The sequence below is a fragment of the Homo sapiens genome, chromosome 10 (genome assembly GCF_000001405.40).
Source record: "Homo sapiens chromosome 10, GRCh38.p14 Primary Assembly".
NCBI lineage: Eukaryota > Metazoa > Chordata > Mammalia > Primates > Hominidae > Homo > Homo sapiens.
In genome coordinates, this window is record NC_000010.11 from 132,339,139 (window position 1) to 132,367,069 (window position 27,931).

Genomic DNA, 27,931 nt, shown 5'->3' on the forward strand with positions numbered 1-27,931 from the left:
GGTGGGATGCGGGTGGGTGTGGGGCCACAAGAAGAAGAGGGGTATCCAGGGTGCCCCCAGTTCCTACGTGAGGAATGGTGTCTCCCAAGAGCCATGGTGGCCTCCGTGGGACAGTAGAATAGAGGCTTGTAGGAGGCCCTTCACTTGCCTTGAACTCACTGGTTTTAAAAATGTTTTATAAGAAGTCAGTGTATTTTGCCACAGGTAATGGGAGGGAACCATGCATCACTCACCCTTCAGGCTCTGCGAGGAAGCTGCTTATCTAATGATAGGTGGTGTCCGGAGCAGGTGGAAACACACCCGGTGCATCTCCATGGGGCTCCTAGGGACTCTGGGGTCTGCAGGGCGGACCACAGACGGACCTGGAGGAGAAGAGTGTTCCGGGGCTCAGCTGGTACATCTGCCGAGCCCGGCCAGCCGCTTGTGTTTTGGGAGCTGCATGGGAGCCAGGTGCTCTCTGGGCAGTTGTCCACCCTGTCCTCACGGCCTCGGGAGGCTTCCAAGCCTGAGGCTGAGAGTGCTTTGGGAAGGATTTCTTCTTCACACGATCATCATCTTCTGGGTTTAGAATCACTGGGTGCTCTTTTGTCCACAAATTGTTTTAGCCTTACACAGTTCTGGAGAGTAAGTGCTACTCAGAGGATGTAAATGAACTAAGACCTGTTCCCATAACTACTCGTGTTTTCCCTAAAATAAGTGTACAGTCCTCAAAATTTGAAATTCTTTGATTTTGCTAGTCAAAGCTGGCTGCCTATGTTTTTGGAGGTATACTTTTATTTGTGATTTGTAACCCATGATAACATTCAAATTAGATCAACTACAGAGCTGAGACATATTACTCGGAAATACAAAGTGATTGTGGGCTTATTAAAGCCTTAAACCTCTCAAAACATAATTAAAACAGTGACGGTGTTAGCATGCCACCTTCTCAGTGTCCTGGATGTGTCAGCTTGCTGGCAGAGAGAAGATGTAGGAAGCATGGATCCGTTCATTTACCTCCTTAGGCCAACAAGTCCAACTCAACGTTTACGTTTATATATTCATTTTAAAATCAATGAAACGAATCAACGGGTAAGCTTTGAATTATTGATAGTATTTAAGGAATTAACATTTATCAATTTATCGTTTAAAGTGTGCTCAGAATATTTTAATAATATTATTATATAAGGTAGAAAAACCCGTGCTGTACTTTCAGGTTAATAGTCAGTAAACATGCACCCCCCGCAATCCCTCTCAGGCAAAACCGAACCCAGCCCCACCCAGCAGCACGTGAGTGGGCCAGAACCTTTCTGCCTTGACAAAGCCCTAGCATTGGAGAAGCCGAGAGCGTGGTGCTGCTCTTGCTGCCCTCCTCAGCATCTGGAGGCCTCTGTTCACCTTATAGAGAGCAGATGCTGTTCTTGTTGGCTGGTTTTATACTAGCAAAATTCAGAGGGAGTAAACCAAAAACAGTGAACTGAACGAACCACATTGAAATAATCCACTTTTGTGCAGTTCAAGAAAAGTTTGCTTCATAAAGTTTATTCCTTAAAAACTTCAAATAATGGCCAGGCACGGTGGCTCACGCCTATAGTCCCAGCACTTTGAATGGCCGAGGTGGGCGGATCACAAGGTCAGGAGTTCGAGACCAGCCTGGCCAACATGGTGAAACTCCGTCTCTACTAAAAAAAAAAAGTACAAAAAAATTAGCCAAGATCACACCACTGCACTCCAGCCTGAGCCACAGAGTGAGACTCCATCTCAAAAAAAAAAAAAAAAAATTCAAATAACAAGGAAAATCCAAGAAAGTAAGTAGAAAGAAAATTGTCTAAACCTTAAGTAATCTGATTTTCCTGTGGGGTTACCAATAAAAAAATTAAAGGTAATTTAAATGAGGGCTGGGCATGGTGGCTTATGCTTATAATCCCAGCACTTTGAGAGGCTGAGGCGGGAGGATCACTTGAGCCCAGGAGTTCAAAACTGGCTTCAGCAACATGGGAATACCCTGTGTCTACAAAAAATACCAACATTAGCCAGGCATGGTGGCACACACCATTAGTCTCAGCTCAGCCAGGCGTGGTGGCACACACCATTAGTCTCAGCTTAGCCAGGCATGGTGGTACACACCGTTAGTCTCAGCTACCTGCGGGGACTGAGGCGGGAGGATTGCTTGAGCCCAGGAGGCGGAGGTTGCAGTGAGCAGAGGTTGCAGTGAGCTGAGATTGTGTCACTGCACTCCAGCCTGGGCAACAGAGTGGAGACCTTGTCTCAAAAAATAATCATCATAATTAAATGTGAAAACCAAGAAGCATAGTACAATAAAAGTTACAAAATAGAGTTTAATAGAATATATAGATTTTTCCATCATTCAACTAGTAAATTTTTACATTCTTTCCTGTCCGTCTGTCTAGGCATCCATGATATATTTTGGGCTGCATTTTATAAGGATGTTACTAGGTGTTAAATGAAAGTAGATGCCTTCCCGAAATGCTGCCTTAGCTGAGTTTCTTACGTAGAGGCTTCTCAGAGTCCCCAGTGTATGAATCATTCATCTCCAAGCAGGGCAGGTTATACTGTGCGGTGGAAGTCTCTCAAACATTTTTGGCCGTAGAAAACTTTTTTCACAGAGCATGATAAAACACTGGGATTCCTCACTGCACATCTTAGGAAAGACTGGTTTACAGTGAGGTTATAACTGGAAGGTGTGAAAGCCTAAAATAGAGGTTCTTAACGGGGAGATTTTACCCCCAGGAGACTGTTGGCAATGTCTGGAGACATCTGTGGTTGTCACGCCTGGGGGTGGGTGGTACCCCTGGCATCTGTTGGAGAAAGGCTGGAGGTGTACAATACCCCGCAAAGCAGGGGACACCACCACCCCTATGGACTGCCTGGTCCCATGTGTCAGCGGTGCAGGGCTTAGACCTGTGTTTGCATATGACAGCAGACCATTTGTGTGTACATGTTGTAAATTTAAGTGTATCTGTATTGAAGTTGCCCCTGAAAGAGAAGAAAAATGAAGAAACTTGATGGTATATTTTGGAGATAGTCAATTAAATCTTGCTTTTTAAATTTTTTTGTTTTGTTTTGCTTTAAAGGCATTTGAAAACTTTGCTTTTAGAAAGAAATCCTATCAAAATGTTACCTGTGGAGCTGGGTAAGTATAAAATAATAAAAAGATGATTTTAAAATGCTATCTTTTGAACTTGCCAGACCTTGTAATGGAAGTATCAGGCATGACAAAGGAGGGTAAGCTAGATATTTTAAAAATCCTTCCTACTTCTAGGACCAAGATAATGTAGCTCTCAAGAACTGTTGATATAGCACGTACTGTTCTTATGGAGGTGTGACGTGTGAGCCTTGTGTGAGGCACAGTCACAGTGAGGGCCATTGGCGCCGTCACACAGCTAAGGAAACTGAAGGCCCCGCACACACCTCTGCAGGCCCTGCGTGCTGTCTCCGCTGCATCTCGCTGGCCTTCCTGGGAAGTTTTACCACTTACGTATGTTCCTAGGCCCCATCATGACCACTTTTTTAGACTTCAGAATCTAAACACTCAAAACCAAAAGCATAAACTGACAGACAAATCAAACAAGCGTAAACTATCACAGAAGCAAGTTTTATGACCTTTAAAATATCTAGCAGAAACAGTATAAATTTGTCGGACTAGTAGCCCAGGAAAAAATGTCTAAAATTCTGAAGGCATTTCTATTATGAACTTGAGAAGCATTTTGGAGAACTAATTTATGAGTACTCATTTATTTGTAAGTCACTTGCTACCATGTAGACAGTATAAAAACAGACATGTATACGCATGTATACATAAAAGTACAAACATTAAGATTGTATAGCTTTGATTTTATTTTTAGCCATGAATCAGATAAAACTCATTAGTTTAAAAGAACAGTTGAGACCACGCATAGTGGCTCATGCCTGTAATCTTAGCACCTTGGGGCGCCAAGGCAGGAGGATCCCCTGAAGCCAGGAGTTTGAAACCAGCCTGGGTAACATAGTGAGACCCCATCTCTACAAAAAATAAAATAAAATAAAATTAGCCAGGTGCAGTAGTGCATGCCTGTGTTCCTAGGTACTTAGGAGGCTGAGGCAGGAGGCTAACTTGAGCCCAGGACTTCAAGGCTGCAGTGAGCTCTGATTGCACCACTATACTCCAACCTGGACAACAGGGCGAGACCCTCTCTCTAAAAACAAAACAACAACAACAACAAAAAACAAAAATAAAAGAACAGTTAGGTTAAATTGTGCCTTTGTAAATGGAACGAGTTATGGCTGGAACCCTTACACAGTTTTAGAGAAAACAGAATAGCAAATTTACACTTCAAAGAACAGAGAGAGAATTTAAGCTTTTTAAAGAAGGAGTTTGGGTGTGTTTGAAGACTAAAAATGGATGACAAGATAATACAGAGTCACTTGCCACAGGATTTGATAAGGAAACGAATTTCATTTAGATAGGTAGCTTCTAGTTTAGTCTCTGTTTTCCAACTGGACCAGTGAGCTCAGGGCAGAGCCCATTAATGGACAGGGCCAACAAGGCATTTGCAGTTTGTAGAGCCTAATACTTAACCTACATGTGAAAAGCGAGCGCGGCTGAAAGGTGGGACACCCAAATACCCAAAATCCAAGCATCCATCTTTCACACTGAACCCTGGCTCCCTCAGATTGGGAAACGCCACAGGACTAGGGCCCCTGCAGTGCTTCCCCGTGCTCCTCATTCCGGGGACTTCGCCCTGAGCCTGGGGAGTGAGCCAGCCCCCACCAGCCCACTGCCCACCACGGGAGCCTTACCTCTCAGCGGCCATCGTTTCCAAAGCCTCCAAGTTCACATAATTTCCATTTTTAGTGACATTTCACATTTGTGGAGTCCTTGTATTCTATTTTCTTCTAATTAAACACAATTTTCTTCATTTGCTTGAACATATTTAAATGGTTGCTTTGAAGTCTTTGTTAAACCCAACATCTGGGCCTCCTCCAAGACAGTTTCCATTGTCTGCTCCGTTCCTGAGTGTAGGGTACATTTTCCTTTTCTTTGCATGTCTGGTAGTTTTTATGTGGAAAATGGGCATTTTAGATAATATAGCGACTTTGTATTCTGAATTTTACAGAATTGTGAAGGTGGTTGTGGCTGCTTCTGTTTGTTTGATTTTATTTATTTGTTTTTTGGAAACCATCCTGGTCTTAATTTGCGGAATCCGTCTCCTGCAGAGTTACCTTTAAAGCAAATCTTTGACATCTGTTAACGTGATTTTCCCCCAAATACTGAATAGAATCATATTTTAAAATGTGAAAAGTTACTATTATTTATTCCTCATTTTCATTTCAAGAATGGTATATAGAATGCTGACAGTTTTTTTTTCCTCCACTGCAGGGAGCGTAACCACGCTGAAAGCACTGAACCTAAGACACTGCCCTCTGGAATTCCCTCCTCAGCTCGTTGTGCAGAAGGGATTGGTGGCTATCCAGCGCTTCCTGCGGATGTGGGCAGTAGAACACTCTCTCCCCAGAAATCCAACTTCTCAAGGTTTGTAGGAGGTGATTTATGACAAATCACATTAACGTTGAAGTTACAGCTTTTTAAAATCAGGGCAGAACCTGTCTTCTCTTTAATAACATCCTGAGAAATACAGGAGCCATGGGTCCTCTGCTGAGTTGACACAGTGTACACTGATCTCAGGCCGACCCAGTCATCTCTGTGACTTTTCCTTGGTTCTATAAATCTGGGCACATTATAGATCCTGGCTCAAGTGGATTTTGGTAGAAGTTTATTGTGATCAATCAAATGAAACAGTTATCACCTCCAAGCCACCCGCAGGCGGCTGCTTCAGGAATGACTTGATGCTGCATTAGGCAGCTATTTTAAAATAAGTACAATGAAATATTCCTTATTCCTAACGAGGTACAAGAAATTAGCAGGAAAATGGCCCTGTAGACATGTTTTATCTAATCACCTTGTTGGTGGGTGCTCACTAACCTGTTCCATTCTTTCAACATACTGACCAGCCAGGTATTTTCAGATGCTCATGATGTGTTCTGGTCTTGAGTACGCATTGTAGTTACACTTGGAAAAGGTAAAGTTAAATTGGGATAAAGGAGAATCATAATGAAGCCTTGCCAAAAAAAGTACATATTCTGAAATATTGTCAGAATATTTAAAATTTTACTATTTGTGATGTACTTTGATACTTAAGAAAAATGCATGTTTGGAACATTAGCCAAGGTGATTATAGATGTGCTGCAATTGAAATGTGTGGGTTAGGTCTTCGTAAATAACGTGTGGCCTTGCACTTTTGACCCAGATGGACTCTATTTGGAAATTGTTTTAAATGATTAAGAGTCAGCTGTTGGCCCTGTGCTTGCTGAGTTGTTTGTAGACATATTTTAACCAGGTTATAGTGGCTGCATTGGGGCATTGCGCTGAAGCCGCCTGGCTGTGGCACCCTTGACCCCGATGCTGCCAGGATGTTGTGATAAAAATAGGAAAAGAAAAGTAGCCGCTGGACTGGCAGTGTGGAGGGCACTGGGCACCTGGCAGGAGTGGGGGCAGGTAGCTGAGGGCATGGGGTGGCCGAGGAGAGATAGGACCAGGACCTGGAGACAGCTGGGACAAGGATGGAGGGGCAGAACCGTCAGGCACAGCCGGAGCCAGGACACAGGGAGCACAGGAGACACGGACAGACCCTGCTGGAGGATCAGGATAAAAAAGAGGAGAAGTTGAAGGTTCATTCCAGTTGAAGGAGACTAAAGGAATAGGAAACTGGATGTGATGCTTCATCCTGGATTGGATCCTGGGCCAGGACAAATATGATAAAGGACATTACTGGGACAGTTATCAAGGTGTGAGGAAGGCCAGCCAGTAAATGACAGAAGTCAGCGATGGGACGCTCCTGGTTTTGGTGAATCGCTATGGCGATGTGTGAGCATCTCCATCTGAGGGTGGAGGGGCAGGATGTCTGAAGTTACCCTTGAGTGTTTTAGGAAATGCATGAGCACCCCAGACAGAGAGGCGAGGGCGGGTAGGCTCATGGGGGCAGCAGCCTCGGGGGCCAGGCACCAGCGGCTGCTGATGGGGTGCGGGGTCCATCAACTTCTCAGCGGTGTTATTGCAACTTTTCTGTAAGTTTGAAAAAAATACATTAAGTAACTGGTCAAAAATAAGTATTTTCTGACTCTTTTCTATTAGGTTTTAGGGCCACATAGAGTGATTTTTCAGCTACTATGTATATTTTTAGTACTTTGTCCTTTCAATTACTTTAAAAAGTCTTTGCTGGCGGGCGTGGTGGCTCACGCCTGTGATCCCAGCACTTTGGGAGGCCGAGGCGGGCGGATCACGAGGTCAGGAGATTGAGACCATCCTGGCTAACATGGTGAAACCCTGTCTCTACTAAAAATACAAAAAATTAGTTGGGCGTGGTCGTGGGCACCTGTAGTCCCAGCTACTTGGGAGGCTGAGGCAGGAGAATGGTGTGAACCCGGGAGGCGGAGCCAAGATGGTGTCACTGCACTCCAGCCTGGATGACAGAGCGAGATTCCGTCTTAAAAAAATAAATAAATAAATAAAAGTCTTTTTGCTGTATCCCACTCTTCCTGTTTGCTTTCATTTTCATGAATTTCAGTTTTGTCCCTGGCCCTAAATCAGTTGTCCACAGGCAGATTGGTCAAATATGCATGTTTCTAGTCACTTGTACCCCAGGGGGAATTTTACAACTTCTTAGGACGTTTTGAAGCATGTTTGCCCATTTTTTAAAACTTTTCCTTTCAAACCTAAGACCCTGAGCACGCAGCAGTCAGGAGCATGTGGCAGCCAGGGGCGTGATGTCCATGCGCCTGTGTCCACTGCGACGGCCACCTGGGGTCTCACTCAGCCTTCAGGTCGTGCTGGGCACGTGCTGGGAGAAGACTGGCCAATAGGTCCCAGTGGCTCCCAAAGTGCCTGGAGTGCCTCTCTGAGGTCGTGTTTTGAGAAAGTCAACAAAAGCATCACCAAACAAGAAAAGCAGGCATAATGGGCTAAACATTACTTAGAAACAAAGATTCTAAGTGATCTGAGGGGAAGCAGAAATGTTGATTAAATGTGGCAAGATTGCCCTGTGTACACATGCAAAAAGTCCCTCCAAAGTGGTAAGGCCTATGTGGGAAGGTCAGGCGCGCCCGGTGGGGCCTGTGTGAGAGGGTCAGGCGTGCTCAGTGGGGCCTGTGTGGGAAGGTCACGCGTGTCCGGTGGGGCCCGTGTGGGAAGGTCAGGTGTGTCTGGTGGGGCCTCTGTGGGAAGGTCAGGCGTGTCTCATGGGGCCTGTGTAGGAAGGTCAGGCGTGCTCAGTGGGGCTTGTGTGGGAAGGTCACATGTGTCCTGTGGGGCTTGTGTGGGAAGGTCACGCATGTCCAGTGGGGCCTGCATGGGAAGGTCAGGTGCACCCAGTGGGGCCTGCGTGAGAGTCAGGTGTGCTCGGTGGGGCCTGCGTGGGAGGGTCAGGTGCTCCCAGTGGGGCCTGCATCAAAGTCAGATGTGCTCAGTGGGGCCTGGTGGGGCCTGCAGGGGAGGGTCAGGTGCGCCCGGTGGTGCCTGCGGGGAGGGTCAGGTGCGCCTGGTGGGGCCTGTGTGGGAGAGTCCAGGTGTGCTTCTGGCAGTGTTGTTTCCATTCCCTCCATGTGGAACTGCTTTGTGTGCCGCAGCAGGCTGGCGTGGTGCAGGTGGCAGGTGGGGTGACGGGAATTGTTTGGATTGACAGGGAACGTGGCAGCCATGGAGGATCTGGGCACCCCACCCCCCACCATCCAGGCCGTCACTGGCTTTTTGAATAAGTCACAGAGGGATGGCGTTGATGGTAGCTACTAAAGCGGTTTCTTACTCTCCCAGAGGCTCCACCGGTTAGAGAGATGACCCTCCGTGACCTCCCGAGCCCAGGACTGGAGTTGTCTGGAGACCACGCGTCTAACCAAGGAGCTGTGAACGCTCAGGACCCAGAGGGGGCTGTGATGAAAGAGAAGGCCAGCTTTCTCCCACCTGTGGAAAAGCCAGACCTGAGTGAACTCAGGAAGTCTGCGGACTCCTCAGAGAACTGGCCCAGCGAGGAGGAGATCAGGCGCTTTTGGAAGCTGAGGCAGGAGATTGTTGAGCACGTGAAGGCAGACGTTCTGGGAGATCAGCTCTTGACGAGGGAATTACCTCCAAATCTCAAGGCGGCCTTGAACATTGAGAAAGAACTACCAAAGCCAAGACACGTTTTCAGGTAAAACTGAAAAGCAACGGGGGATTTTCTTGATCTTTGCGAATTTATACAGTTATTTTAAATTATCTTTGAAAACATCAGGTCCAGCTTTTAAAGTGTCCTCCACGTTGCCACCGTTTACTGTGCAGTGAGTGCCGGTCCCAGGTTTAGGGTAACGGGGACCCGCATCAAGCCCGGAGCATCTGCGGCAGAGCTCAGTCCATTCAGAGGCTGAGTTTGCCAAGGTTGAGGATACGCCCGGGGAAAAGAGACATAAGCGACAGTGAGATCTGTGGCCTGTGCTTTCTCCAGAGAGAGCTTTGAGGATGTCAGCATTTAAAGGAGAAAGAATGGGCAGCAGGGAAAGGAGGAAAGAACAGTAAAAGTGGGGGCAGGCAGTGAGCCAAGTGGGCACATTCTTGTGAGGCTTCGATCAGTGCTCACTGAATCCACATTTTACCTGTGAAAAGAGAGGAGTTGGGGGAAAGGTCAGTTATGCAGAAAATAAATGGCAGCTGCCTGGGGACAAAAGGAAGGCAGTCATTGTGTGGCCCACTTCCAAAGCTTGCCTTTGCCTTTGGTACAGTGAGTTTGGGGGCCGAGATTTTATTTTCCTTTCACACCCAGGACAAGGGTCCCTAGGAAACAGGCTCTGCAGAGACTACATGAGAGAAAAACTCGAATCATGGGCGTGGTAGGGCGTGCGCCTACACATATGGGAGGTATGTATCTGTGGTGTGCGTGTGTGTGCCTGCATGTGGTGTGTGTGCCTGTGTGTGTGTAAACATCTAGAGAGAGAATGCTGCAAAATAACAATTGGTGAATCTAGATCATGCATTCTCAAGGGGCACATTGTCATAGCCGAGGGGACAACAATGGCTTCCTGGGGGTGAAGATTCTTGGAGGCCGCAGTGGTCTGTGGTCCCTCAGGCTCCACGCAGCGTCCAGCACGAGCAGGTTCACAGTGGCACCAGACCTTCCCGGAGGTGTTGGCATGAAGCGCTCATGGCCCTGATCTTTCAGCTGTCCTGTAGGTTTGAACATTCAAAACAGAACAAAACAAACCTTGGAAGCATCACTAAAAGATTAAAGGGTAGGATGTCCTAGCAGCACACACAGCAGGTTCCCAGCTACAGCGAGGCCTCGGACGCTCCAGCACGCTTGTGGTGTTCTTAGTCCACACAGTCGCACGGTGAAAGGGCAGGAATATCCTGAGCCTGCTGCTTAGAAACCTCTTTTCTTCCCTCCTCCCTTCAAATATTTATTTATTGTTAGGGACCCTAATAATAGCTAATCCAAGTGAATTGTGGTATGCTTATTAATCGTACTTATAATTTGATCAATATGTCAGATTTGGATACTAGACCCTAGCCTTCGGAGATTGCTTTGGGTGGCTTGGGAAGTTGGAGCAGAGAACTGGAGTCTCTGGCAGGAAGCCTCAACCTGGAGCCCCTGCCCCATGGTTGGGTGGGCCCTGAGTGTTGTCTTCCCCCTCTGCTGCCTCTGCCCAGGGTGAGCCATAGAGAACCACTCTGTGCCTCAGCTTTCCCACGGGGTGGTTGTGGTCTCACATGCATTATCAGGGCCTCAGTTTCCCCACTTGGTCAGGTTGTCGTGGGGTCACAGGTATTAAGAAGAAGCTCTAAGATTATGGCCCTGGTCTGCGCTCAGGGTGGTGGCCCTTCCTGAGGGTCTGGGACTCGGGAAGCTGGTGCTCCTCTGTGTTCTCTGGCCAGGGAGCAGTGGGCATGGTGAGAGCAGCAGGCCCGGTCCAAGGTGACTCGTGTGGCCTGGGCCTGCTTATAAGGCTGAGTGCTCATGTCCAAAATACTTGCAAGAAAAGTGATGTTATGTAAAAATCATAGGTAAATAATGGTCTGGTCCTGAAATCCCAAAATTATATTGGGAGGGAATCAAAGCATTCTGAAGTCATCAAACATGGAGCTGGAGTACGACGGAGCATCACTGCCCCAGCCTGATTCTGACGTCCAGCAGGCCTTCCTCTGGGGCAGCTCCTCCATACCCCTCAGGACCCTGAGACCACAAGGGGAAGCCTGGTGTTCCATAGAGCCTGGGCCACCTGCCCTTCCAAAAGCAGCAGGTTAAAGGCCAGTGCCCAGCACGCACCCCAGGTGACCCCTGTCCCAGAGCACAGGCCATGCCTGCCCTCTCTGCTCTACTGAGACAGTCACTGCTGTTCCCGTGCAGATGGGGAAGACGAGGGACAGTCACTGCTGTTCCCGTGCAGACGGGGAAGATGAGGGTGGAAGGTCATGCAGCGTGGGGGGGCGGGCCAGCCTCCTGGGACGTGGCCACCGGGCATGCTGCTTGGCTGTGGCCTCCCAAGATGTGCTGCTGGTGTGAGGCTTTGCACAGGGCAGGCCGTGGAATGGGATGGGCCTTTCTCCTCTGGGCGAAGTGTTTGGTTTCAGAGGGAAGACCAGGCAGGGCTTCCAGTTGTGTTTCTTAAACTGCTTTGATGCAAGGGTCATGGTGAGGAGTTGTCATGTTCTGGAACCTGGCTGGCTCTCAGTCCTGGGCTCAGAGCCCCTATCTCCAGCCTGGTTTTCCCCAGGTGTTTTCACTGGGAGGAAACACCAGGCACACCTGTCAGCTCCCTCTCATGGGCAGGGAGAGGGAGTCCCCAGCACCGTGCGACCCCACCATGTTACTGGCTATCCCCTCTGCTGTCCTGCGGGCTTCCCTCAAGGGGGACCCAGTATCTGACCCTGCCTGAATGTGTCTGTGGAGGCCAGGCGCCTTCTGATGGCCTTGCCTGCCCCGCCCCCTGCTCCCACATCACCCAGCGATGGGATTCCGACCTGCTGCAGCACCACCCCATGCACCTGAACTCCAGGCACGTCACATCGTCCAGCCCGGGCGAGCTGCTGGCCAGGCCCCCTGCTTCCGCGGGCATCTCTGTCCAGGTCAGACAAGGGTGCGGCATTGGTCTCAAGCAGGTCGGGTGCAGCTGCCGAGGCTGCACGTCCTTCAGGTGCATTTCCCAAGCCGACTGTCAAGCGTCCCGGGAAAGTAGCTGGCTGGCAGTGGGCGCGTTGGGACAGTGTCCTGCTGCCATCCACACATCTTCATTACGTGTCCTGAAATCAACAGTCAAGACTGGACTCTGGGGTGACTGCAGCTTCTAGTCGTGCTAATTGTTCAGATGAGCGGATGATCCACAGGCCCTCCTTTTACATTTCACATGTTGTATGAATTACCGTCACAGGGTTTTGTTAAACATTCAGCTAAAAACACTCTGTAATTTTAGAAGGAAGACAGCCTCCTCCAGGAGCATCTTACCCGACCTCTTGTCACCGTACCAAATGGCGATCCGAGCAAAAAGACTGGAAGAGAGCCGAGCGGCGGCGCTCCGAGAGCTCCAGGAGAAGCAGGCTCTGATGGAGCAGCAGAGACGGTGAGTCCACACAGGGTGGGGGTCCGCACAGCCCGCCCAGTGCACCCGGAACTGGGACTGGGCTGTGATTTTATGGCAGGCCTCGTGGAAGTGTTTAGTTAGTTCTCCCCTCACTGATGCTGATCCAGGATCCGTCTCTTCCTCACCTGGAAGCCGAGCTGCACGTGCCCCTTGTGGTCTGTAGCGCCACGCACGGGCTCGCTTGTTTGCAGCCCTGAGGCCTCCGTGTGGGGCAGGCGCAGGTGCAGCGCTCCGTGTGGGGCAGGCGCTGAGGCCTCCGTGTGGGGCAGGCGCTGAGGCCTCCGTGTGGGGCAGGCGCAGGTGCAGCGCTCCGTGTGGGGCAGATGCTGAGGCCTCCGTGTGGGGCAGGCGCTGAGGCCTCCGTGTGGGGCAGGCGCTGAGGCCTCCGTGTGGGGCAGGCGCTGAGGCCTCCGTGTGGGGCAGGCGCTGAGGCCTCCGTGTGGGGCAGGTGCAGCGCTCGTGGTCTGCAGGGCGTTGCGTGCATGGGCTCCCTTGTTTGTAGCCCCGAGGCCTCCGGGTGGGGCAGGCGCAGGTGCAGCGCTCCGTGTGGGGCAGGCGCTGAGGCCTCCGTGTGGGGCAGGTGCAGCGCTCGTGGTCTGCAGGGCGTTGCGTGCATGGGCTCCCTTGTTTGTAGCCCCGAGGCCTCCGTGTGGGGCAGGCGCAGGTGCAGCGCTCCGTGTGGGGCAGGCGCTGAGGCCTCCGTGTGGGGCAGGCGCTGAGGCCTCCGTGTGGGGCAGGCGCAGGTGCAGCGCTCCGTGTGGGGCAGATGCTGAGGCCTCCGTGTGGGGCAGGCGCTGAGGCCTCCGTGTGGGGCAGGCGCTGAGGCCTCCGTGTGGGGCAGGCGCAGGTGCAGCGCTCCGTGTGGGGCAGGCGCTGAGGCCTCCGTGTGGGGCAGGCGCTGAGGCCTCCATGTGGGGCAGGTGCAGCGCTCGTGGTCTGCAGGGCGTTGCGTGCATGGGCTCCCTTGTTTGCAGCCCCGAGGCCTCCCTGTGGGACAGGCCGGTTGCAGTGCTCGCGGTCGCCCCCTTGTGTCCGTCTTTGCCCTGGCTTCCTCACGACACCTGCCTGCTTTCTTGTTCTTTTCCCTCATTTCTTGTTCTTCCTCAGTCCTTTCCTCCTCATTTTCCCTAGAGTATTCCAGGCCCTGACACGGTCATCAGGGAGGTTCATTCTTGTGTTGCTGTGACTGCCGCCAGTGCCACCACCTTGCGAGGTGTGTTGGCCGATGGACTCGGTGTCCTCAGTGTCTTCTCTGTCCTCCAGCTCCACTGACCACCTGGCTTCACCCCTCCCTGGGCCCCAGGAGTCCGGCTGGCATGGACCACAGCCACAGCACCCCCGTGCCCCTCACTTGGTGGTTGGCTTTGGCCAGCGGGGGCCCCCAGCAGGAGGTCGAGGAGGAAGGGAGAGCGAGGGCCTCGTCTTTACTTTCCCGGCTTCTTTGTGAGCTGCCTGGAGCTGGCCGAGTCCAGCCTCTCCCTCCTTCTGGGTTCCGACAATCTCTCCTTCCCTGGTCTGTCCTGTGGGCGGCTGCAGCCCGGCCCTGACTGGCACAGGGCTCTTGCACCGCCCCTGTGGCTCACCTGCTCCCTCCCCAACATGAATAAACCCTCCTGAAGCCACCCCGTTGTGTGTGTGCTGTTTTCTCTCGGGACCATGTGATAGGGGCTGTGTCCAGCACACAGATTCTGTGATTGTCCACAGCTGTCACCCAATGTCCAGAGAGACATTGTAGTTGGTTGTCTTTTTCATTAAAAAGATGAATGAGGTGAAGTCCTCAGAACTGGTCCCCTGTCCCAGGCTGTCATACTGACGGGCAAGGATGAGGCTGACTGACCGCTCTAGGGCTGTCCTAGGACATGGGAGTGTGGTCCGGGCTGCACCAGAAAGCCCATCGCTGTGGGACCAGGTCTTGCTGGCCACGGGCCACAGCTGCTGGGGCCCAGGGAGCACCGGGAAGGCTTTCCTTTGGTGCCCATCAGTCGCCCCACACTGTCCCTCGGGGTAGCTCTACAGAGCCGGGCCCGTCACTCACTGCGAGGTGAGCCCCCCAGGACCGGCCCCGCCTGTCAAGCATGCCAGCTGCCCTCCCCTCACTGTGTGCCTCAGCAGGCATCTCCCTTCCCTTCCCTGCTGCAGGTGGGTCCCACTCCTGCCTCGGCTCTGCCAGTTTCAAGGTACCGTTTTCTGAAGTGGGTGTCCAGACACCTGCCCCCTTGACTCCTCAGGTATCACCTGCCCTGCCAGGAGGCTGCCTGTGGGAGTCCCACTCCCTCTTGGCCATGGCTGTGATGGAGGTGATTGTGATGAGACCTTCCGCAGGCACAGCCCCTGCCCCAGGCTCTCTGGGCACCACCAGCTGCAGGGGGCAGAAAGGGCACTCTTACCCCCAGACAACAGGCTCGGGCCTCGTCCCACACCTTCATGGAAGAGAAGTTCTTGGATACAAAGAGCAAGTGAACTCTTTCTTCTTTATTTTCCTGCCTGGAGCCCAGAGCCAGTGTCCTGCAGTCTCCTAGTGAGCAGCTCGGCAGGCCTATTCTGAGGGCCCAGACCCGGCACAGCCCCCTTCACATCACCCTGTGGACAGCGTCACCCCTTTGCTTCCCAAGGTGTGACCAGAAGACAGTGACACTAAGTGGAGGCCCTCGTCCAGGAGCGCAGCGGGGCCAGCACCACACATGGTGCTAAGTGGGGACACGGGGGGCACCACCCTGGCTGGGGCTGGGGGCTGGGGGCTGGGACACACCCAGGCAGGCGTCAGGACACAGCCTCACCTGAGGCAGCTGCTGAGACCACCTGTGCCCTGAGGTGGCACTGGGAGAGGACGCAGCCAGGCTCTGATCCCAGGCAGCACTGACTCGGGATGGAGCCCTCAGCAGGAAGGTGGTCAGAGGTGGGCCGTGGGCCGGGTAGAGCCCAGGAGGGCTGAGCCGCTGTGACCGCAAGGAAGGAGAGCAGAGGTCGGGTGGAGGCGTCGAGGAAAACCCGGCCTGGGGCCCAGGCGTCCAGGATGATGATGGGAGAAACAAGAGGAGGCCGGATCTGGGGGCAGGATGGAGAGGGGGTACCAACCACAGGAGTCCTGCAGGCTGGAGAGCTGGCCTTCCGGGGGTGGAGCCCTGGGCCTGAGCAAGGGCTCTTGGGGACCTCATTCCACCCCAGCCACACGCGAGGAGCCCCGCCCAGCCGCAGATGTGGGCGTTACTCGGGACGTTCGCAGCCCTGGGCGGCGAGCTGTGAGGAGGGAGCATGTGACTCTGGCTGCAGACTGCGGAGGCCCGAAGACGCCTGTTCTTGTCTTGTTTTGTTTTGTTTTTTGAGACAGTCTTGCTCCGTCACCCAGGCTGGAGTGCAGTGGCTCAATCTTGGCTCACTGCAACCTCTGCCTCCTGGGTTCAAGCAATTCTCCTGCCTCAGCCTCCCGAGTAGCTGGAACTAGAGGCGCCCACCACTACACCCGGCTAATTTTTTGTATTTTTAGTAGAGATGGGGTTTCACTGCGTTAGCCAGGATGGTCTCGATCTCCTGACCTCGTGATCCGCCCGCCTTGGCCAGATGCCTGTTTTTAAAAGTGAAATTCAAGTGTCTGAAGGGAGGGACTTAGAGACAGGCATTCAGATCTTCCATAGACCTTATGTCGACAAGTGCCCGCAGCCAGGCACCCCCAACCCGTCGTGCAGCGCCTGTGGTGGCAGCCCCAGCTGGTGCCCTTACCTGAAAGGGGTCCTGATGCCTTTTCCTCGGTCACTGGGTCGGGTTGGCCCCCAGCATCAGTCACTGCTGGCAGCACCGACACACAGAGCCTCGGGATAGAACCCGGCATTCCCGGCTCTGCCCAGATGTGCCGGGAGGAAGAGGCTGTGGTTCAGACTCCCACCCGGAGGGCATGCACGCCCCCAGCCTGTGCCCCCTGGAGACAGGTGCACCGCAAGGCTGTAGAATGACAGAGGAATCCTGTAGCCTTGGCTCGAAGCTGCCTGTAACTTATGACATTAACCTTCCCTTTCTCCAGAGAGAAAAGGGCACTGCAGGAGTGGAGAGAGCGAGCCCAGAGGATGAGGAAGAGGAAGGAAGAGCTCAGCAAACTCCTGCCTCCGCGGAGGAGCATGGTACGGCACGCGCGGGCGGTGACCGGGCACTAGTCCAGTCCCGGGGGTGGGTGGGTGCTCACAGGCATCCCTGTCCATGGAGGATGAGCCGAGACCTGGGGGTGTGGGTGGGTGCTCACACGCATCCCTGTCCATGGAGGATGAGCTGAGACTTGGGGAGGAAGCTGCCTGTGCAGGCTGCTGGCTGGTGGGGCTGGGTTGGAGTGCAGCATCCAGAACCATTGCTCACTGCCCAGCCGGAGGGGACAGCTTCCCACCCCAGCCTTGAGGGCTTGCCTCTTGGCTCACTGACTTTTGGCTCCTGTCTGGGGAATTAGAAGCTCAAAGAGGGAAGGCGGAAGAGGAGATGAGGGGAAAAGATTCAAAAGATAAAAAGCAGCTGAGGTCGAGGTGAGCGCTACAGAGGTCTTTCTGGGCTCCTCACCCTTGGTCTCTGGACCTCGAGGCAGGCAGTTTCCCTGGAAGCCAAGATTGCCAGCTCTTAAGCTATGGGACATGGGATATCCTGAGTACCATCCCCCAAGATTGCCAGCTCTTAAGCTATGGGACATGGGATATCCTGAGTACCGTCCCCCAAGATTGCCAGCTCTTAAGCTATGGGACATGGGATATCCTGAGTACCGTCCCCCAAGATTGCCAGCTCTTAAGCTATGGGACATGGGATATCCTGAGTACCGTCCCCCAAGATTGCCAGCTCTTAAGCTATGGGACATGGGATATCCTGAGTACCGTCCCCCAAGATTGCCAGCTCTTAAGCTATGGGACACGGGACATCTTGAGTACAGTCCTCTCTTCCCATTTTCCCCAGACTGTATGAGGGTCTTAGTCCAGCCGGGCACAGGGCAGTGGGCACAGAGCTGCGGGCATGGGCCGTGGGCACAGGGTGGTGGGAGCCGGTGGCTCCTCCCTCCAGAATGCGCCTGGCTTGCTTCTCTGTCCTGTGAGCATAGTCAGGCAAATGTGCTGTTGAATTTGGTCATAGATGTTTCTTTGGTGCTTTCTTCTAAGAGATGCTCCCTGTGTGTTACTTTGAAAGGCCACGGATTGCCTCTGCAGCCCCCTTAGCTGGGGTAAGGCCCCCAAGGGCTTCACCCTACAGCAGAGAGCGTGGCCACGTGGGCCTGCAGGCGTGGACTGCTTGGACAGTTCAGGAGTGTTTCCTTTGTCTAACTTTGTATTGAACTAGTTTTTGACTTACAGGAAAGTTGCAAAAATAGTGTTTCCGTCTCCCCCCGGCCCAGCTTCCCTGATGGTGACATCTTACATAACCTCAAAACAAGGCTCAGAGTTAGGAATTCACAGTGTCCAATGCGTTGGATAAACCAGGACTGCATCTCACCCTTCTCAGGTCCCAGGCCCCACAGGACACTCAGTCGCCATCTTTGCTGTCACCTTTTTCCTAATTTCCCCAATATGTGGGAAAGTTTAAAAATACATATTTTGCCACTTCCAGGAATAAAAATACTTGCACAATTGGACATTGCTAAGAATGCTTTCAGAGCTGAATTATAGCAAAAATATGGGAAACTTTAAATGTCAACAGATGGAGATGGCTAAATTGTCACATCCAGACCATGAGCTGCCTCTGTGGCCGACAGAAGGGTGAGTCAGTGATCATATCCACTGGCTTGCAAGTGTCTTGAAGAAATCACTGTAAGTTAAAGCAGCACAAGTTGTAGGACAGTGCACAAAAACTCTCATTGGTCTGGAAGAACGTACAGCAACCCAGTGACTTTGCGGGGAGGGCTGTGGCTCTGGGGAGGGGGGCGCAGAGGAGGGGTCGATGCTGCCACAGTTGTGCTTCTGAGTCCTGTGAGACCATCACAGTGAGAGTGTACGCAGTTTCTTAAAAAAGAAAAACATAGGTTTTCTAGAAACTCATCTATCATGAGATAGAGCAGTTCAGTCAGCGAGTATTGATGGCCTGCTCTGAGCAGGGAGGGGACCAGGCACAGGCCCTGCCCACGGGAGCGCGCACCTAGTGCAGAGGCAGACCCTCGGCTGTGGCAGCAGGCAGGGCTCCGTGGTAGCTGGCTGCTGTTCTGCGCACCCCACAGGCCCTGGGTGAGGCAGCTGAACGCATGGAGAGGCCTGCTGCTTCCCTGTGCCACCCTCTGGGCCTGCGCTGGCCCAGGCACTGGTGAGATACTTTGTATGGCCCAGAGTGCTGTAGTCAGAGTCCAAGGGAAAATCTTTGTGCCTAAATGTTCATATCTAATATACAAAGAATGGCTACTAATTGATTTTAAAAATCTGAGAATCCAGTAGAAGAAATGGGCAAAAAGTATGGCAGGCAGTCCACAGAAGAGGAAATCCAAGCCACCGTAAATACATGAAAAGATGCTCAGCCTGTGAGGGACACGTAGGGTGGACGTGAGGCGCCTGTGTGGTCGGCAGGAAGGAGCCGAGGTGGTGGAGCGTGGGGAGGAGCCGAGGTGATGGAGCAGCGTGGGGAGGAGCCGAGGTGGTGGAGCAGCGTGGGGAGGAGCCGAGGTGATGGAGCAGCGTGGGGAGGAGCCGAGGTGGTGGAGCAGCGTGGGGAGGAGCCGAGGTGATGGAGCAGCGTGGGGAGGAGCCGAGGTGATGGAGCAGCGTGGGGAGGAGCCGAGGTGGTGGAGCAGCGTGGGGAGGAGCCGAGGTGGTGGAGCAGTGTGGGGAGGAGCCGAGGTGGTGGAGCAGTGTGGGGAGGAGCCGAGGTGGTGGAGCAGCGTAGGGAGGAGCCGAGGTGGTGGAGCGTGGGGAGGAGCCGAGGTGGTGGAGCAGTGTGGGGAGGAGCCGAGGTGGTGGAGCAGTGTGGGGAGGAGCCGAGGTGGTAGAGCAGTGTGGGGAGGAGCCAAGGTGGTGGAGCAGCGTGGGGAGGAGCCGAGGTGATGGAGCAGTGTGGGGAGGAGCCGAGGTGGTGGAGTGTGGGGAGGAGCCGAGGTGGTGGAGCGTGGGAAGGAGCCGAGCTGGTGGAGCAGCGTAGGGAGGAGCCGAGGTGGTGGAGCAGTGTGGGGAGGAGCCGAGGTGGTGGAGCAGTGTGGGGAGGAGCCGAGGTGGTAGAGCAGTGTGGGGAGGAGCCAAGGTGGTGGAGTGTGGGGAGGAGCCGAGGTGGTGGAGCGTGGGAAGGAGCCGAGGTGGTGGAGCAGCGTGGGGAGGAGCCGAGGTGATGGAGCAGTGTGGGGAGGAGCCGAGGTGGTGGAGCAGCGTGGGGAGGAGCCGAGGTGATGGAGCAGTGTGGGGAGGAGCCGAGGTGGTGGAGCGTGGGAAGGAGCCGAGGTGGTGGAGCAGCGTGGGGAGGTGCTGAGGTGGTGGAGCGTGGGATAGAGCATGGAGGCTGCTGCCACCAGCTGCTCGGAAGGCATCCTTCCAAGTTAAGAGCGTGTCCTTTGAACACATTTAGGAGTCCATTTTATAGAAATAAAAGCAATCATATAGGCATTTAGTTACACAGAAGTGTATCTGTGTATTTCAGTATTGTTGGAGAGACAAGCATAAATAAATACAACTCCAGTTTCCATGTCCATAACAGGGAAGCGGTTCCACGCATTGGCCCGGGGAGGGCAAGCTCCCAGCTCCCTGCAGCTGGGCAGGAGGACACGAGAGGGCGCCACGGCCTTGGGTGGCCACTGCTGGGTGGATCCCACTGGACAGTGGCACCCACGGGCTGGGCTGGGCTGGGCGGGCCTGGGGAATCATGGCCGCTGGCTTTGCAGCCTGGTCCTGGAGTGTGCCCCCAGCCCTGCATGTGCTTCTGCTGATCCGTCACTGTGTGGTCACACCCCAAGTACATTCGATGGGGTGGGAGCCTTGAGGCTGCGGCTGCTGAAAGGGCTGCAGAGCTAAAGCCTGTGGCTGGGTGAAGCCTGGGTCTGTCACCTGCTTTGTAAAATGCACTGCACTTCTCTTCATGTCACTCTGAAACCAGCCATGACTTGAGCCCATATTTTGGGCTTCACGTCAGTGGCATGTTTGACACTTGACGTACAAACCCTGGCGCAAAGCCCATTCCACGCCACCAAAGCGGCAGCCTGTTGTAGACTTCGCCGGTGTGTTCGTGTTTATATTTGGTTCTTTGCTTGCTCACTCAAGAGCTGGATGTTCGAAAAAGTCTTCCTTCTCTATATTTTAGAGTGGGAGTAAAATGTGGATGGGTGGGCTTCCCTCCAAATACATACTTTTAATGTCTTTTAAAATAAAATTAAGTGTCTGATTTTAAAAGAAAAAAACACCCACTGGATTTAGCATTTATTTATTTATTTATTTACGAGACAGGCTGAAGTGCAGTGGCACAATCTTGGCTCACTGCAACCTCTGCCTCCCAGGTTCAAGCGATTTTCCTGCCTCAGCCTCCTGAGTAGCTAGAACTACAGGCATGCGCCACCACACCTGGCTAATTTTTTGTGTTTTTAGTAGAGACAGGTTTCGCCATGTTGGCCAGGCTGGTTTTGAACTCCTGACCTCAAGCAGTCCACCCGCCCCGGCCTCCCAAAGTGCTGGGATTACAGGTGTGAGCCACTGCGCCCGGCCAGGATTTAGCATTTGTTCTTTTCTTTCTGTTGGAAGAACCTTTGGGAGAATCCTGATCACCTGAAAGTGTCCCAGCTCTCAGTCAGCCAAGAGTTTCCTCTGCTGTGTCTGCAGCCTGTGCCTTGCTTTATGGTGGGGTGGGAGGGATAGGAAAAGGTTGGTGGGTGGTCCCTGGTCCTCCCTGCCTCCCATCTTTCCGCCCTTTCTGGTTGCCGAACACTTTCTAAGTGTCAGGCATGTACTAGGATTAAACTAAGGGCTAGACAAAGGCCCCGGCCTGGAAATACATTTGGAGGAGAGAATGGCAGATACAACCATTCCAAACGTCATCTCAGTAAATGCTAAATGGACCCTACGAGTCTCCACATTGCAGTAGCCCCTGGTTGGAAGTTCTTCTCTCCCACTCTGTTGCCAGGGTTCCCTCCTACCTGTTTTTGTCATCCGTTGGTTTCTGACAGTCCCCGGGAACACACTGCAGGCACCCGCACAGGCCCAAAGCTCCCTGAGGTCCGGAGGGGTCAGCGTGGCTCTCACATGTGTCCACTGGAGGCAGCAGCGAGCAGCACTGGTCACGCCGCCGTTGGGGTGCTAGCCTCCTCCTGCCTAGGTTGCACATCACAGCGAGTGTTGGGTCCTCCCAGGTCTCCCTGGTTCTGGCACTGAAGCTGGAGAAACAGATCTGGGGCCCCTGTGGAGAGGGGCCATCTAAGGACGCCTGTAGGAAGCCAGCCACTGCAGCAAACCTGGCGTGGGGGGCATAAGGGCATGCAGGGCAGCCTTCCGAGCTACCCCAGGGTCCCCTCACTCTGCATCTTTACCTCCTACCCCAGCCTGGGCTGTCAGGGAGGCCCCAGAAAGATGTCCAAACAGATCCCAGTAGGGCGCGAGAGCTAGCCAAGACCTGGGGGGATGACTGCGTTGCACAGGGACCGTCTACCCGGGGCGGCCTCGGACCCACCTCTTCGTGGACGAGGAGCTAGTCTAACACACCTTGCAGGTTAGCTTTGTGGAAAAACATCATCTACTGGGATTCCAGAAATCATCTTGTTGCATTTTCCTAGGTGGCATCAAAGATTCCCTCTGCCACAGATCTGATAGATAACAGGAAAGTACCACTGAATCCGCCTGGAAAAATGAAACCAAGCAAAGAGAAATCGCCACAAGCAAGTAAAGAAATGAGGTTGGTAACTGCAACTGGCACTCAGTCCTTCCAGGGCTCAGCCAGCCACCCACGGGCAGGTGCTGTTGTTTATTTCATGAGCATGCACTGAGGAGCCCTGAAACTCCAGGCTGTGGCGGGCCCCAGGCTGTGGCGGGCTCCAGGCTGTGGTGGGCTCCAGGGAGAGCCAGGTAACCCTGGAAGATGGGGTCCTTGCCCTCAGGGAACTGCTGTCACCCAGCCATGGCTCCTGTAGGTCACCAGGATACAGAGTGCTCCCGAGCCCTCTGTAGTGGGTGCTGCTGTGGGCGCCAAGGGGAGACGCGATCCGAGATCCACCCGCTGCAGTCCCTGCCCTGCCCTGCCGTGCCCTCCCCACCTCACCGCCGCTGCCTCCCCAGGTCTTCTCATGCTGAGTTCTGATCCCATTTCTTCCCACCCCAGCTTCCTTAGACCTGACCCTCAGGGCCGCTCAGCCCTTCCCCTCATGGGGTGTTGGGTGAGGCAGCGAGGCCAGGCGTTGACCCAGGTGAAGGGGACTCAGGCAAAGTAGCCACCATGGGGTGGAGGAAACAGCCAGAACCGAGAAGCTGTGTCAGGAAGCACTTGAGACGTTTTGATTTTGAGTCCCTGGCCAGGGGGCGGCCAGGCTGCTGGGCAGGTTGTCATCCCCGGGAAAGGCAGGCAGCCACAGGCCCATCAGGGATAGCTGGTGAGCCACAGAGGATCCTGGAGTTCAGGAGAGCAGGGAGGGATATTTGGGAAGCCTGGTGCTAACCTGGGACCAACGTGAGGGGAAGGGTAGGGGCTCAGAGGCATGCACTTGGCACTGGGGAGTAGGGATGGATGGAGCAAATGGGGCTGAGGAGCACTGGGTGGCCCGGCGAGTTCACGGGGCAGGACACGCTCCACAGTGCCTGGTGGACAGAGCAGAGTCGGGGCGCAAGGCAAGGACGGAAGCTGGAGGCTGGTCCCTGGGTGGGTCCCTGGCTGGGCCTTGAGGGGAGGGGAGGGGCTTCACTGGAGAGTGACAGCAGCTGTTCAGGGTTCCCGGGGGTTCACCCTTCTCACCTCACAGCAGCTCGGGGGTCCAGGGCTCACCCTTCTCACCTCACACCAGCTCGGGGGGCCAGGGTTCATGAACCCTCTCACCTCACAGCAGCTCGGGGGTCCAGGGCTCACCCTTCTCACCTCACACCAGCTCGGGGGGCCAGGGTTCATGAACCCTCTCACCTCACAGCTGCTTGGGGGTCCGGGGTTCACCCCTCTTACCTCACAGCAGCTCGGGGGTCGGGTTCATGAACCCTCTCACCTCACAGCTGCTCGGGGGTCCGGGGTTCACCCCTCTCACCTCGCAGCAGCTCAGGAGTATGGGGTTCACCCTTCTCACCTCACACCAGCTCGGGGGTCCAGGGCTCACCCTTCTCACCTCACAGCAGCTCGGGGGTCTGGGGTTCACCCTTCTCACCTCACAGCAGCTCAGGAGTATGGGGTTCACCCTTCTCACCTCACACCAGCTCGGTGGTCCAGGGCTCACCCTTCTCACCTCACACCAGCTCGGGGGTCCAGGGCTCACCCTTCTCACCTCACACCAGCTCGGGGGGCCAGGGTTCATGAACCCTCTCACCTCACAGCTGCTCGGGGGTCCGGGGTTCACCCCTCTTACCTCACAGCAGCTCGGGGGTCAGGGGTTCATGAACCCTCTCACCTCACAGCTGCTCGGGGGTCCGGGGTTCACCCCTCTCACCTCGCAGCAGCATTCCTTTGATTTTCTGCGTTCACAGCTTCTATAGCTGGGTTAGTGGCTGCACCCTGGGGATGATCACTGGGCTCCCTAGTCGCCTCCACCTCCTCTGAGCCGTGTATAAGGACCAGGCTGACACGGAGCCTCAGTGTGGACACACCTTCTTGTCCAGGCATTTCCCATGCCGACTCTTCAGCTGGGCCCCTCCCTCGCACCTCCCAGGCGTCCTGGGAAGCCAAGGCTGGCCTCAGGGAGACCACTGGAGACCCCAGGGCATGAGCACTGCTCTCCGGTGCCCCCGTGCTTTCCTGGCCTGCACCAGGCTCGCTGTGGCTCTCACTGAAAGCGCCTCACTGCACTCAGAGGCCAGAGCAGAAGAGACCGTGGGGCCTGAGCTTGGAAGGCCCAGGGCCTGGCCCCGGCCCTGCTGCTCAGCGTACGTCTGCCAGGGGGCTCCCCACTCAGTTTAACGTACCCTGGATCCCGGCTGCGATGTAAGAAACCTGGAGGAAGGGTGAGGTGGGATGAGATGTGGGTGACAAAGGGCATGTTCTGTTCCTGCAGAATTTGTTCCTCCTGGAGGCTGACAGTGTTTAGGGAAAATCTCGAAGGCCAACTAGGTTGTATTAACTCCCCAACCTCGTGAAAATGGCTTAGACTAAAACCATTTCGTCTCAAACATTTGAATGTTCTCTTACATCCTCCAGGGAGTTTACCTGCCATATTTGGCCTTTAAAAAGCCCACAGCAGACCACAGTGGCCCGCTAACCCCCCATCACCCTGGGCACAGTAAAAGCTGGAGTCTGAGGCGCTGACACAGGGCATGCCCTGACCTGAGGGCTCTGTTCTGTAGAACTCCAGAGGACATCATGCTTTCTTTTCCATAGTTACTCTGAAAAGCAAGCAAAACCGGCACAAACCCTGCTGCTGGGAGTAAGAGGGTCTTCGGAGAGGCTGAGTGAGACTGTGTGCCATTGTATTCACAGTGGCGCATGCACCCACGCCCGCACCAACACCCACACCACACCCATGACCACACCCACACTTAATCTACCTCCACACCCGCGCTTACACCCACCCACACTTACACCCACCCTTACATCTACCTCCACACCCGCGCTTACACCCACGCTTACATCTACCTCCACACCCACACTCACACCCACCCACACTTACACCCACCCACACTTACACCCACCCTTACATCTACCTCCACACTCGCACTTACACCCACACTTAAATCTACCTCCACACCCACACTTACACCCACGTCCACACCCTGGGGCCCCACACTCAGGCAGTCCGCGTCCACGCTTACATCTACCTCCACGCCCACACTTAACACCCACCCACACTTACATCTACCTGCACACCCACGCTTACACCCACGTCCACACCGTGGGGCCCCACACTCATGCAGTCCGCGTCCACACTTACATCTACCTCCACGCCCACACTTACACTCATGCTTACATCTACCTCCACGCCCACACTCACACCCACCCACACTTACACCCACCCTTACATCTACCTCCACGCCCACACCCTGGGGCCCCACACTCACGCAGACTGGAGTGGACCCCGCCACCCCACAGCTCACCTGCAGCAGATCCCCAGCTCTTTCTACCACCCTGAGTCATTGTCTTTAAAATTAAAGGAACCCCAAACCCCTGAGCCCCAGTGCTAACAGAAAATATGTTTAAAATCATAATTGAATACACTTTTCTGTTTGTCTGTTTAAGGATTTAGGAAAACCGTGTATTCCATGTGGGAACAGAAACCTGCTTTTCCCTTCATGTGGTGCAGTGTGCAGTGTCCTAAATGTGTCATATCTTAAATCAATTTGAGGTTTTTAAATAAGAATAGTGTGTGTTCTGGCAGCTTCTGAACTACTGAAGAAGGGATGGGAGAGGCAGCCCAGGCCCCCCGGCGTGAGTCTGGAGGAGAGTGGGTGCCGGGGAGGCCCAGGGCAGCGCCACAGTAACTGGCACAGCTGTGCGGGAGCCTCAGGACCGCTGTTTGGTCTGGGAAGAAAGGCACATGCTTTCTCCCTGGTTATGGCGGGAGTTGCTAGGATGAGAGTAAATGTGTCAAGTCATTTCCCTCTTTGCCCTTTGTTTCTCAGTGCCCTGCAGGAGAGAAATTTAGAAGAGAAGATAAAACAGCACGTCCTCCAAATGCGTGAGCAAAGAAGATTCCATGGCCAGGCCCCACTGGAGGAGATGAGGAAGGCTGCCGAGGATCTGGAAATTGTAAGGATTTCTTGGTTCTGTTTAAAAAAGTGTGGGGTGTTTTTTGTTTTGTTTTGTTTTTGTTTTTTTGAGACAGAGTCTTGTTCTGTCACCCAGGCTGGAGTGCGGTGGCACAATCTCGGCTCCCTGCAGCCTCCACCTCCCAGGTTCAAGCGATTCTCCTGCCTCAGCCTCCCGAGTAGCTGGGACAAGTGTACACCACCATGCCCGGCTAATTTTTGTATTTTTAATAGAGATAGGGTTTTGCCATGTTGGCCAGCCTTGTCTCGAACTCCTGGCCTCAAGTGATCCACCTGCCTTGGCCTCCCAAATTGCTGGGCCACTGTGCACAGCCTAAAACATTGTTTTATTAAAAATAAAGAGAACTCACTGTGCCTCTTCAGAGCATGCGCTCTCTAAAACCGTGGGACTGTGTGGAATGTGTCTTATGAGGTGTAGAAATTCCCAGAATTACAGTTGGTCACATGAGAAGGAAAACATTTCAGCCGAGGGGCTGAGCCCTCAAATGTGCCAGGCCACATGGCGGGCCTTGGCATCTCAGCACTGGGAATCTGATGGCAGGAGTGGCAGCCTGCTGACAGGGACTGGGAACCAGTCCTCTCCACATGTCTGTGGGGTCCTTGCTTGAGGTTTTGCACCCAGCTGATCCAGGCTGTGGGCCCAGGGCTGGGCCATGAGGGGCGTCACTGCAGAGAGGGGTCTGGCTGAGGCCACCGGACCATGGCTGACACGCTCGGTGTCTATGTAGGGAGGCCGATATTCATGGGGATCCAAGGCCTCCTGACCAGGAGCCTCCTAAGCAGAACTGCTCACGGAAGTGGCTCCTATATATTTGGAATGTTAACCATCCTCTCAGCCACCGCCAGTGCTGTTTATTCACTCAGCATACGCTGATGCCCACCTCCTGGTACTTGGAGTATCCTGGGCTGTGGGAGAGACGCAGGAATGAAGGAAAGTGCTTTGCTGCCCGAACTGCTGCCTGGCCAGCCCATCCAGCTGTAGAAGGACACAGCTGCTGTCCCTGGCAGTGAACCTGGATACCCGTGTCCCCACCCTTCCTGCAGCCATAAGGATTCTGGCCTGTCCTCTCAAGCTACCCAAGGCCCCTGGCTGGTGGCCTCTTCCAGGTCAGTGTACCATGCCCGAACACAGGTCAGGCTGGTGCGAGCTGCATCGGGGCTGCCCCCAGAGCACGCAGCACTGTCACGGGGGAGGAAGCAACCCTGGCCTTCCTGTCCCCACACCCCATCTGCAGGCTCCATTCCCACCATTTCCGCTGTTTCCCTCTCTCCTAGAGCCGGAGATGGGAGAGAGGAGGCATGAGGGCAGGATGTGGAGCCACTTCATGGAGACCCCACCCAACCTGACTCGGACCCCACTTCTGAGACTCTTTTCCTCCTCAGCCCAAGGAGTTTGTATCTGCCTTTAGATAAACTCTTATTCTTTCTAAATCCATCGTTTATGAGTATGACCTTGTCCTTGGACACCCAAACCCTGCCTCTTAGGGCTGCAAAACATC

The 27,931-nt window shown here is 53.8% G+C and overlaps 1 protein-coding gene across 25 annotated transcripts in view, besides 2 other annotated features; it reads left to right on the forward strand.

The window, feature by feature from the left end:
• LRRC27 (leucine rich repeat containing 27) overlaps positions 1-27,931 on the forward strand; it is a 51,446-nt gene that overhangs the window by 9,076 nt on the left and 14,439 nt on the right. For 6 of the 25 annotated variants that reach the window (XM_011540208.2, XM_047425785.1, NM_001143757.2 and 3 more), the window contains 7 exons: positions 3,075-3,133; positions 5,360-5,512; positions 8,846-9,218; positions 12,469-12,615; positions 16,652-16,748; positions 22,319-22,437; positions 26,286-26,412. In XM_011540208.2, the coding sequence (XP_011538510.1) occupies positions 3,075-3,133; positions 5,360-5,512; positions 8,846-9,218; positions 12,469-12,615; positions 16,652-16,748; positions 22,319-22,437; positions 26,286-26,412 (1,075 nt within the window). Of the gene's footprint in view, positions 1-3,074; positions 3,134-5,359; positions 5,513-8,845; positions 9,219-9,824; positions 9,920-12,468; positions 12,616-13,743; positions 14,259-16,651; positions 16,749-22,318; positions 22,438-26,285; positions 26,413-27,268; positions 27,864-27,931 lie in introns of those variants that run through there. The other 19 variants (XM_047425788.1, XM_024448208.2, XM_006717984.4 and 16 more) reach the window with 11 other exon arrangements.
• Positions 299-453: a silencer, noted in NCBI's record as "fragment chr10:134152941-134153095 (GRCh37/hg19 assembly coordinates)". NCBI's record gives its function as "represses an EF-1alpha promoter that drives an FKBP-Casp9 reporter gene in an ReSE screen in HepG2 liver carcinoma cells {active_cell/tissue: HepG2}" and the evidence as "EXISTENCE:reporter gene assay evidence [ECO:0000049][PMID:32094911]".
• Positions 13,545-14,507: an enhancer, noted in NCBI's record as "H3K27ac-H3K4me1 hESC enhancer chr10:134166187-134167149 (GRCh37/hg19 assembly coordinates)". NCBI's record gives its function as "activates a minimal SCP1, AML or CMV promoter by ChIP-STARR-seq in naive H9 embryonic stem cells {active_cell/tissue: H9 hESC(naive)}" and the evidence as "EXISTENCE:reporter gene assay evidence [ECO:0000049][PMID:30033119]".